Source organism: Homo sapiens, chromosome 1, assembly GCF_000001405.40.
Source record: "Homo sapiens chromosome 1, GRCh38.p14 Primary Assembly".
NCBI lineage: Eukaryota > Metazoa > Chordata > Mammalia > Primates > Hominidae > Homo > Homo sapiens.
Genome location: NC_000001.11, coordinates 23,027,647 through 23,039,796, shown reverse-complemented (window position 1 = coordinate 23,039,796; position 12,150 = coordinate 23,027,647). Strand labels below are relative to the sequence as shown.

The following is a 12,150-nucleotide window of genomic DNA, read 5'->3' as shown; positions in this document are numbered from 1 at the left end:
AGAAGCTGACACAGTCTTGGAGAATCAGGGAAGCTTTCAGAACAATTCCCGAGAGATCTGGATAGACTGCGAGGCAGTGAAACCACGACTATGGTCCAGATCATTTACAAAGATAAAGAGAAAAGCACAGACATGGTATGTGCAGAGGACTGCTCGGTACCTACTTTCAGAAGGAGATGGTCTGAAAAAGCAGTGGGAGATCAAGTGGATTGGTAAAATGATCCCTTTCCAGTACCCAAACCTGAACGTGATTTTAGTAGTAATGAAGGAAAAGTGTGTGATCTTTGGCACAAAGACAACAAAACAAATGCTATTTTAGTTAAACTAATCTGGCCACTTTGTACGAGATGGATTAGAGGGAAAACCTAGATAAAGGAGATCCAATTCAAAGGCTATTGAAATAATTTACATACAAGTTGAAATTCACTAGAAAAAGGTGACAGTAAAAATGGGTAAGGCCTAAAAAATGAAAAAGACTGCACAGTAAGATGCATGACTTTACAACAGACTTGGTAAAAGGGATAAAGAACTTTCAGGATGACTCTAGGGTTTTAAGTTCAGAAGACTAGTAATGCTACAAACAAAATGGGAAATTTGGGAGACTGGCTAATACAATTAAATGGAAATGTTCTAAAGATGGTTGGAAATTAAACAATAGAACTCAGAAGTAAGAATGGGGCTAAAAGACTTCAAAATAGCATGGAAGTAATAATAGGCTCAGATAATTTGAAGCAGTCATAAATGCATGATTAATCTCATGAACATAAGGAAAGTCACAGTTTCAAAAAGGAATTGACAGTGGCTCACACCTGTAATCCCAGCACTTTGGGAGAGACCAAGTCAGGAGGATCACTTACAACAAGGAGTTCAAGACCAGCCTGAGCAACAGTCAAAATGAAATTATGAGTTCCAACTAGAATAGCAATCCCTGGGTTACAGTATCATGTAAAATACTGAAGTAAAACAGCCTTCTTAAGGTTTAGAAAAAAAGAAAAATTGTTTTGCTTGAAGCAGGAGCTTGCCTGGAACTTCCACTGAACTGCTGAAAGAACAATAACACCACAGATATGTGCTTGAAGACTTCCACTGGGTAGTAGCAAGGATCTTATCAAAAGAAAGTAAAAGGCCCTACAAGCTAGGGAGAAATGCAAAGCTTTAGAAGCCAATGGAAAGAATTTACTTTTTCACATATTATTTCCCTCCACATTCCATAGTAGAAATTTTCCTGATCCTTACTTATTTTGCTGCAGTCTTGGTTTGTGTTCACTTTTCAAAATGTTCCAGAGAAAGCTTACAATTCAGATGTTATGTGTCCAACTACCAAGCTTAAGGTGTGTCTGGTTAATAACAAAGCTTACAAAACATTTCTTATAACTCAACAGCCGATGCAAGAATTTCAATTATATTATTCTCTTAAGGAAAGAAAAAAAAACTATGTTAGAAAGTCCCAAAGTCTGTCATTCTCATGATTTAACTTAAAAGATTATTATCAAGATTTAAGTTTTACACACACACACACACACACACACACACACACACACAAACAGTTCCAGATGCTTAAAAAGTTATCTATTTCATAATCGACTCATTACTGAAAATGGCCCACCACAAACACTTTCCCAAAGTAACACAGTATGTGTGTCTGTCTGGTCTAAAGCTGCCCTGATTTTTTTCCTAAATAAAACACCAATCCACCCTATTCTTTGTTCAATCAACTCTGCTTAATAAATACAAGATGTTTATACATAAAGGTGGGTTTCGCATTTTCTCATTTGATTCTCATAACAAGTCTCATTTTGTAGACGAGAAAATCCTTACAAATCTTGTTCTTCTATTACAACATGATCAGACCCAATAAATGATGGCAACAAAAAGAATTCAAATAAATTATAAAAATAAAGGTGATCAGCTAAACAAATTACTATTTTGCCTTAATAAAAAGTACAACAAATCAATGAAATGACATCATTAAGAAAAGCAGGTCAATCTCTCAAAGACCAAACATAAACTTGTAGCATCTGATTCAAGGGTTCTTATCGACCAAAAGCAGTAAATAGTTAAAAATCAAGGATCTAAAACTGCTTCATCCTTTCATGTTTAACACAAAATTTCCAAAACCCAATTTTAGGGAGAAACATTATTTAAAAACAGCTTCTGAGAGAGCTATTATACAACATGGTGACTATTGTTAATCACAATACATTGTATTCTTGAAAAATACCAAGAAAGTGGGTAAGTGTTCTCACCACAAAAATGATAACCATGTGAGGTAATGCATGTTTATCAGCTAAATTTGGTCATTCTGCAATGTATTTATACTTCAAAACATCACGCTGTACATGATAAATACAATCTTATTTATCAATTAAAAAAATAAAAACTTCTGAGTTCTCACCATACTTTCTATACATTTCTATTGTAGTTTCTTCATTGTAGCTACTTACTAACATCTGTAACCCTAAACTGAATTGCACTTTTTTTTTTTTTTTTTTTGAGACAGGGTCTCACTCTATCACCCAGGCTGGAGTGCAGTGGTACGATCCCAGCTCACTGCAACCTCTGCCTCTCCGGTTCAAGTGATTCTGGTACCTCAGCCTCCTGAGTAGCTGAGATTACAGACATAAGCCACCACTCCCGGCTAATTTGTGTGTGTGTGTGTGTGTGTGTATATATATTTTTTTTAGTGGAGATGGGGTTTCACCATGTTGGCTGGGCTGGTCTCAAACTCCTGGCCTCAAGTGATCCCCTTGCCTCGGCCTCCCTAAGTGCTGGGATTACAGGCATGCACCACACCAGGCCACTGGACTACAAATTCTTTGCAGGTGGATGTACTCTTTCTCTTTGAACCCTTAGAATCCAGCACTGTGACTGTGACAAAATAATTATCATCGTACAATAATATTTGTAGAATAAAGTCAATGAGGAACTACTACATTTGGGGGAATCTTATTTTTTTGTAGAAAATGCCTATTTTTTAAAAAATTTGCCCTCCATACTACCAATTCTCTACTCTTCACCCTTCCTACCTCTATATGCCTCTAGAATTTTTATATTGATATCACACTTAAGAGTTTTTTGCTTTCCATTATGCATTTATGTCTACACTTGTGTCTCATACTAGGCTATAAATTATCTGAGAGTGGGGACCGTGTGTTGTATAGCGTATTTATCTTGATCCATTCATAATGCCTCAAAATATAAGAACATAAGAATTCTGTTGAATTACCTTTTCAGCTTGTCACTTTCTTCCCTCAGCCCTCCAGTAAGGTATTTTGGAGCATAGGTCCAAATCAGAACACCGAAATGTGTTCCAAAAAGGCTGGAGTGGTGAGGGGGCGGGGGAGGGGGGGGGCGTGGCAAGAAAACTAACCCTATGCCTATTTTCTGAATGTATGCATCATACTTCATAAAATGAGAATTCAAATGATTTCAGGCATTTATTTTACACTAGCATGTCAAAATGACAACACAGACAACCCCGTCAGGAATGAACTCCCTAGTCACTTCTGGTAAACCTACAAAACAGGGTCTCCTGCTGGGCCTGGGGATGTAATAGAATCCTATCATCTTCCCTGTGGTGGTAATCTGAGTCAATCCTCACTAAACCTGAAAGCTAGTCCTTCTCTCTGGCTCCATTTGCAGGCATGGAGAGAGAAATCAGAGAGAAAAGCCTGGGATTAGCCACTTGAGAATAGTTACAGCATGATTAAAAAAAAACAAAGTGGTTCACCTGAACTCTGGCCATTACTATCTATGCTGCCAAACTCAGTGCTTGGCAACCACCAGACTGCACTCAGTATGACTGCCTCACAGGGAAGAGATCAGGGTATCTTATAAACAAAGAACTACCCTAATATAAGGTGAAAATATTAGTACCACTTATTTTTTTTCTTTTAAAGTAAGACAATCTTCAACTCTTTTCTGATCAAATTCTATTATACCAAGTTCTATAGAATACTCTAGAAGATTCTGCCTTTTAATACTTTCTCTACTAAATAATTCATCAAATTTTTGGTCCTCAATCTTTTGTTATATGAAATTTTCATTATAACAGCATTTGTGATCAAATTTCATTGACTCTTTAAATTCTTCTACTCATACATTGTGTATTTTCTGTAATTTAGTATTTTTACTAATTCAGGTTAACATCACCTTTTAGGTAAATTTAAAAAATATTTTCAACCTACAGTATGATTATTATGTGAACAAGCCCCCAAATTTATTAAAACCACACAAAATTTCTTATCTTACCATTCTCTCACATCAATGATTTTTGTTAATTTATCTAACAGCCTGACCGGGCATGGTGGCTCACACCTGTAATCCCAGCACTTTGGGAGGCTGAGGCAGGTGGATCACCTGAGGTCAGGAGTTCGAGATCAGCCTGGCCAACGCGGAGAAACCTCATCTCTACTAAAAATACAAAATTAGCTAGGAGTAGTGGCGCATGCCTGTAATCCCAGCTACTTGAGAGACTAAGGCAGGAGAATTGCTTGAACCCGGGAGGCGGAGGTTGTGGTGAGCCGAGATCATGCCATTGCACTCCAGACTAGGCACCAAGAGCAAAACTCCGTCTCAAAACAAACAAACAAACAAAAACAGCCTACATCTCTTTAAAACACACACCTACAAACTTTTAAAATTACCACATATAATAGAGAAGAGGGCTTCCTCTGGTACAAATAAGAATATAAACAAGGAGATAAAGTGATTCTTCCCATGGTCATTCCATAAAATAAATTATAATACAGACTTGTTACCAATCACATCTAAAAAAATCTATTTGAAGAGTTAACCAATGACTTAATGGAAGCTTCTGGGCTTCATTAGTCTTAAGGACTAGGACATCAAGGAGCCTAGAAAAATGATACACACACTCACATGCATATACACACACACTTCTGATGTCTCTACTGAAAAATCCATTAACTTGAAAAAGGCTTAAGAAAGGCATCTTAATAACCCATTTCAAATTTCCTTTTACTTATTTTAGAATAACTTTCCATGAAAGTCTCAGGCTATGTACAACTAAGCTACTTCTAACTCAGAATGTATCTTGAGTTCTCTAGTGAAAAGTTACCCAATACACAATTTAAATCCAGGAACTAACTAGTAAGATTTTTCTGGTAAAATTTGACTGCTGAAAGGCAGTGGAGGGAAAAAAAAAATGGAGTCATGTTTCCATGTGAAAATAAAAAAGCCAAGTAAGTGTTGGAGAATCAGTTAATACAGGAATGCAAAACTCATTGAGGAAAATAATGTAAGGTACACAGGGTAACAATCTGAGCAAAGACAGGAAAGGCATTTCTCCAATAAACAGAAGGGTACTTTACTGGGGGACAATTATTCTAAATCAATGAAGTCCAACTGAAGGAGATTTGACTCTATTTCATAAACGCTCCACTATTATGTGACGCTGCTAGTAACCAAACACACTCAATTCCAAAGACAACCTGTCAAGTTTAGTTGGCATGACCTAAAAAAACTTTCATCTTCACAGAAAAGGTACTAGGAAACCAAATAAAACCATCATGTGTTAAAACAAATATATTCAAAAGTATAGTAAGTATAAAAATGCATGGAAATATTTAGGAAAACAAAATGAGGTAGTTTTTAAATATAAACAGTAATATTTGGTATGAAAAATCCATTATTTACCCATTTTGACTACCATAGGACTACAATATCACATTAACTTACGGTCAAAAATTGATAAATCTAAAAACAATATTTAGGTCAACAGAGAGAACTTCCTTCCAATTATATAAGTGCAATCAGACAAAAACACCCAAACTTTTTCTTTCCATAAAAATTCAACTTTGATATTAAGAACATTTTTCCATTGACCAATAGCCTAAATTATCTCTCCAATCTCAGCTTCTTTACTCCTTTAGTTCACGCTTAGCATGAGATTGGTCTTTCCAAAAACATATTTCAGTGTAACCCCCCTTGCTCAAAAAACCTCAGGGCTACCGCTGACACTCCTAATGCTCAAATTCCTTAGCCTGGCTTAGTCAACCAAGGCTATTCACAATATGGCTCCCACCATTCTGGCTTCCTCTCAGTACTCTCCCAGAGGAACCTTATTCAGTCAATTTGACCCACTGACTTCAGAATACCTTGTGCTTTCATAATTAACAAAATATTTACTTCCTGTTAAGATTAACACACTGCAGAAAGCAAAGCAAAAATTTCTAAACAAATTTAAAAGTTGGTAAGAATGAAATGTATGCAAACCTTACTTTTTTGTTTTGTTTTGTTTTTTGGATTTTTTTTTAAGGCGGAGTCTTGCTCTCACAAAGACTGGAGTGCAGTGGCACAATCTCAGATCACTGCAACCTCTGCCTCCCGGGTTCAAGCAATTCTCCTGCCTCAGCCTCCCAAGTAGCTGGGATTACAGGCACGTGCCACTACACCTGGCTAATTTTTCTATTTTTAGTAGAGACAGAGTTTCACTATGTTGGCCATGCTGGTCTCGAACTCCTGACCTCAGGTGATCCGCTTGCCTCAGCCTCTCAAAGTGCTGGGAGCCACCGCGCCTGGCCCTAACCTATATTTTTTGACAGAATAATTTCTAGTGATTGCCTTTTAAAAAGACTGAGAACAAGAAAAGGTTTGGTAGAGAAACAAACCCACAGGCCAGGCATGGTGGCTCATGCCTGTAATCCCAGCACTTTGGGAGGCCAAGGTGGGCCAACATGGTGAAACCCTGTCTCTACTAAAAATGCAAAAATTAGCTGGGCGTGGTGACGCACATCTGTAATCAGCTACTCAGGGGGCTGAGGCAGGAGAATTGCTTAACCCGGGAGGCAGGGGTTGCAGTGAGCCGAGATCATGCCACTGCACTCCAGCCTGGGCGACAGAGCGAGACTCCGTCTCCAAAAATATCAAAACGAAACAAACCTATATCTTCTCTCAAGCTTTTAATATAGTCATATAGCAATGCTTCCGTTCAATTTTTGACTAAAAACTCTTGTGAAAGACAAAAGACTTAGAAACCCTGCACAGTGTCCAAATATTTAACTCACCTGATAATATTTTATGATTCACCATCAGGGTCCAATCTATTGCTAAACTACATAAGTAGTTTAGGCTAGTAAGTTGACACTTTTTTCTAGGGAAAGTACATCCCTAATTCACCCCAGAAATTTTCAAAAAAAACATTAAGTTGTTTTAAAGGAAGAATCACTATTTTCATAACCACAAATAATATATTAGTAAGTTCTGGCTGTTATCAGCACATTTCTAAGCATTGAAGATATCCTCAACTTAAAATTTTAACGTCCCCCCAAAAACAAAGATAACTTAAACTAAACCACTGCATTATAATTAACTACAACACAATAAAGACAGCTCCCAAATCCTAAATCCTTTTGCTAAGACGTTTACTTTTTGTGGGAACAATACCTGACGTTTATGAAATTAAAAAAAAAAAAAAGCTTTCAGAAAAAAGCAAACAGCAACACCAACACATGGTTTAAAATTTTCAAAGAAACGTTTATCAACTTGGAACCTATGGTAAATCAATTATTTACTGGAGACACAACCACACAAAAAAGGTGAGGCAGCATCTGAGATATCAGATCATCAATGCGTAGTACTTAGAGCCCTTGAACTAAGAAGTCAGCCCACTCTTGAGCCACCGCAGACATTAAAAGGGTTATCCCCAAGTATCTCATTAGCAGGTCTACAGCAAAGGTAGAAGAAAGGTAAGAACCAAAAAGAACACAGAAGAAAAGAGCACAGGGTGAAGGGAAAGGTTGGAGGTAAGAACAGAAGGAAGAGAGCTAAATGTATAAGACTAGAAAGAGGAAGAAGAAAAATGAATAACGAGAGGTGTAAAGTAAAAAGGCAGCTACATTTGCCTGGGACATTAGCCCCAAAGGTAATATACTACTGAAACTAGAAACCTTCAAACAAGGAGTTGCCCAAGAAATCATTTTAAGAAAGTTTTAGGAAAACCACTCTTCTTAGAAAATCCCTGACTTTTGAATGAACTGAAACCAGAATCTTTTTCTGAATGTTCTCAAACTGTATTCCTTTAGTACACTTTATTACAATCCTATAAATTATAAATTTGATTTTTAAGTTTTAGCCAGACTTTGATAAGCTCCAAACCTAAGTTAACACTTGACTGGTAATGCCCTAAAGTGAAGCATCAGTACTGCTTCTGGTAATTCACAGTAACACCATAGGGGAGAAAACCCTTAAAAAAAAAAGGCTAAAACAAAAGATAAAACATCTCAAATGAAGTATGTCTTAATCTGGGTACCTACGAAAGTCATGCAAGATATAGCAGATGGGGTCTGAAACCACCATTTTGTTTTTAAAAGGTACAGGACTAAAAGAACCAGAGAGGTGTGTGGGTCTGAAGCTATTCGAAACATAAAAATTATTTCAAGAAGAGGAACTTAGTAAAAATTCAAAGTCAAAAAGAGTAAATAAAATGTCATTAAGGGCACAAGATACAAAAATTCATTAAAATACTGCTTTTGCTTGGTCTCTCCAAAACAGAAAGGCAGATATCCCTGATTGGTCCAGCCATCCTCAGAAAGCTAGTACTCAGCATTGAGGGGATGTTAGTGAGAATTCTTTAAAGCTGTTTGAAGCTCTGAAACCAAAACTATAGACTCCCATAATCTTTCTAGATTTTCTGGCCTATATATATTTTTACATTTGTTCACCAGGAAAAGGCACTTCTCAAAACCGATCCACACCGTGGAAGTTTTATCAGAAAGTATCTAACTACGTGGTAAACACATCATTTAGCCAGAACAATTTCTGAATCAGAACTGTCATTGAGAGGTCTGGTGCTTTGGATATGGCTTTCTGTATGTTTTTTCTAATCATTTATTTTCTCCTACTTTCCAACCACCTTATATTGCCACTGTCCTTCCATTCCCACCCTTTACTTTCCTCCTGTATATGTACAGACACACAAAAAGAGTATCAGTACCAGTATGTACGTATCTATGTGTATACATACACACATATACATGTATATGTATACACACACACAAAGACACACATGGCAGGAGACTCAATATCAGACTTTATTATAAACCAAAGATAAAGACATAAATAATATTGCAAAATGGAAATAAATCCATTCATTCTTATTTCTAAGATAAAACAGAACTGTGGTTGGATACTACAACTCACCCGATGGTTCTTCAGGCTCACTTTCATTTTCTTCCTCAGGTGGGGCTTGAGGGGGTGGTGGGGGAAGCTTCTTTTCCTTCTCTGCTTTGGCATTTCTCTCTTCTTCTGAATAATACTCATCTTCTGAGAGGTTGGCCAAGCTTTCATCCATCTCTCTGTACTCTACCTATATGGAGATCATACCAGGGAAAGCTAAATGCAGTGAACATTTAAAATTAGGGACTCTATTTGGAACCATCAGTCAATGTAAATTGTTAACCTCACATTTTAAGGGAAGTAAGCATACAACAAGGAACAAGGCAGCTCATAATAGGTAGTTATTAAAAACAAAGCCCTCATGAAACAATCTTGTGTCAGTTCAGGTTCAAACTAATCTGTAAGTTTTACATCATAGCACTGACATTCAAATCATTGACTCTAAGGCTCTCTACAACTCCTCAAAAACCTTTTTAATTGTGTGTATCATGCTCACATACTGGAATTTCCAACAAAAGAATAAAATGACCCTCAGACAAAAATATAGTTAACTAGAATACCAAGTCTGTCTAAAGCCAAGTCTGTGCTTCTAACTACTACTCCAGGGGAAAATAGCAAAAAAATTCCAAAAACCAAATGGAGGGCATGGAGTGGAAAATAACAACAGTCAAACTGAAACTATGAAAAGGTGCATTTGCTTTAAAAATTCACTTAGGAGAGGCCAGGTGCAGTGGCTCACGCCTATAATCCCAGCACTCTGGGGGGCTGAGGCAGGAGGATCACCTAAGGTCAGGAGTTCGAGACCAACCTAGCTAACATGGTGAAAACCCTTCTCTACTAAAAATACAAAAATTAGCTGGGTGTGTTGGCAGGCACCTGTAATCCCAGCTACTCGGGAGGCTGAGGCAGGAGAATCGCTTGAACCTGGGAGGCGGAGGTTGCAGTGAGCCAAGATCGCACCACTGCACTGCAGCCTGGGCAACAGAGTGAGACTCCATCTCAAAAAAAATAAAAATAAAAATAAGATAAATTAAGGAATAAGTGACGTGGAAATGGAGGATACAGGTCTTACTACTAATTCACACTGGCTATAAAGGAGAGGGAGGTATGTCATTAGCAAAAAGAGGAAGCAGTCTTAGTGAATGTGTCATTGAGGGTAAAGGAGTGTAAGACAGGGAAGATTATTATGGATTGGTTAGCCAAAATGTGTAATACGGTATTACAGATAGTCTTCAAAATTGGAACATTCTCAAATCATCATTGTGACTTCCTAATAAAAGAAACTACAGCTAATTATTATGGAATCAATTAAAAAATTCTAATTATTATTAATTCCATGAAAAGATAATTTATTAGATGTGGAAAAAAAGCAAAGACAACATGGTTTCCACAAATATCTAATGTTTTACATTTCCAAGATGAATAGTCCTGTGGATTATAGTGAATGTAATACATTTTAACTTGCTAAATGTCTTTGATATAGCTTTAGATGGCCAGCTGTTTTTATACTGTCTTTTTGCTCTTTTTTTTAAATGATAGGACCACAGGATTTGGGGGCGGGGGACTGGTTGCTGGAAGTACAAGAGTGTTACTGAAAACAGGGATTGGGTTAGAAAATGGAAACACAAATTAAGAAGAATGAACTGACTAGTTCTGACCCATGCTCTAAGAATCTTATTTAATACATGAATAATTGTATTCACCTACTCAAATACTGAACACTGAGTACGTGGTACAATGGAGAAAACAATTATGACTGTGTCCCTGCCCCTAAAAAGCTGAAAATCTAGTTGCAATTAAATGATCCTGATCAGGTGACCATCTCATACAGGGTCTTTGCAATAAGACTCCAGAAATGTAGATGATATTATACTAAACTTTATCCTAACTGACTGAGATAAACTGTGGAAATAGGTCTCAGGATAATGGATGAAAATGCAGCAAGGAGAAAAAAAAAAGTTTCAAAGGGGGAGAGAAGTCAGAATAGACCATAAACTTTTATAGTATGCAGTTTTCTTTCTCCTTTTACCCCTCAATAGTGCTTGACTCTTCCCCAAAGATTCAGTCCTTTGATCCTCTGCCCCATCAATCCTATTCATTCAATAATGACTTAAGTACCTAATATGGAACTGGACAATGTGCAAATTTTGAGACAAAAACAAAGACTAATACAAAATCTTTTCTATTGTAGTTCAGTTTTTCCCAAAGGATGTTCCATTGGATACTATGCCCTTTGAAGGAGTAAAGTATCCAATATCAAGTCTGGGAAACTGCAATCTTTACAGGCCCCCTCTAGGAAAGTCATAATTCACATTAAAGGTACTGAGAAGGCTGGGCGTGGTGGCTCATGCCTGTAATCCCAGCACTTTGGGAGGCTGAGGCAGGCAGATGCCAAGGCAGGAGGACCGCTTATGCCCAGGAGGCCAAGGGTGCAATCTGTGATCGCACCACTGTGCTCCAGCCTGAGCAACAGAGACAGACCCTGTCTCAAAAAAATAGAAAATAAAGGTACTGCTAAGTTTTGCATCAAAAACAATCTTTTCAACATTGTTTAATCCAATGCCTTGACAAAGAAATAATTAACAAGGAATACACTTGGAAAAGGGTGGTCTAGAAAGGGTTCTTAGTCTTTAGGAACAAAAGAGATGAGAAAAATACCTACAGGTAGAAGCAATAATATCTGATGGTATTATTAAAAACAAAACTGTTTCACAGAACCCTAGGATTCTTCAAGATTTAGAATTTTAATTTTTTAAATGTATTACACATTCATGTGTTAAAACAAATCTTAATCCTTTAGAGACAACCAACACAATTAACTTGTGCTGCTTGGGTAACTCAATTTGGGGTAGACTTCAGAATGAAGTTTCTTCTGCCATGTCTGTTCAACTGAGAGCATCCTGAGATGACAAAGCAAGCTTAAAAAAAAAAAAAAAAGGCTGGGAGCGGTGGCTCAAGCCTGTAATCTCAGTACTTTGGAAGGAAGAAAGTGTAGGATCATTTGAGCCCACT

At 37.2% G+C, this 12,150-nt stretch overlaps 1 protein-coding gene across 9 annotated transcripts in view, besides 1 other annotated feature; it reads right to left on the bottom strand.

Moving 5' to 3' along the window:
- Positions 1-12,150, bottom strand: part of KDM1A (lysine demethylase 1A) — a 64,222-nt gene that overhangs the window by 43,893 nt on the left and 8,179 nt on the right. For all 9 annotated transcript variants that reach the window (NM_001009999.3, XM_006710473.4, NM_001410762.1 and 6 more), the window contains exon 2: positions 9,163-9,328. In NM_001009999.3, the coding sequence (NP_001009999.1) occupies positions 9,163-9,328 (166 nt within the window). The remainder of the gene's footprint in view (positions 1-9,162; positions 9,329-12,150) is intronic.
- Positions 6,569-6,618: an enhancer, noted in NCBI's record as "active region_356". NCBI's record gives its function as "activates an Ori minimal core promoter by ATAC-STARR-seq in GM12878 lymphoblastoid cells {active_cell/tissue: GM12878}" and the evidence as "EXISTENCE:reporter gene assay evidence [ECO:0000049][PMID:35858748]".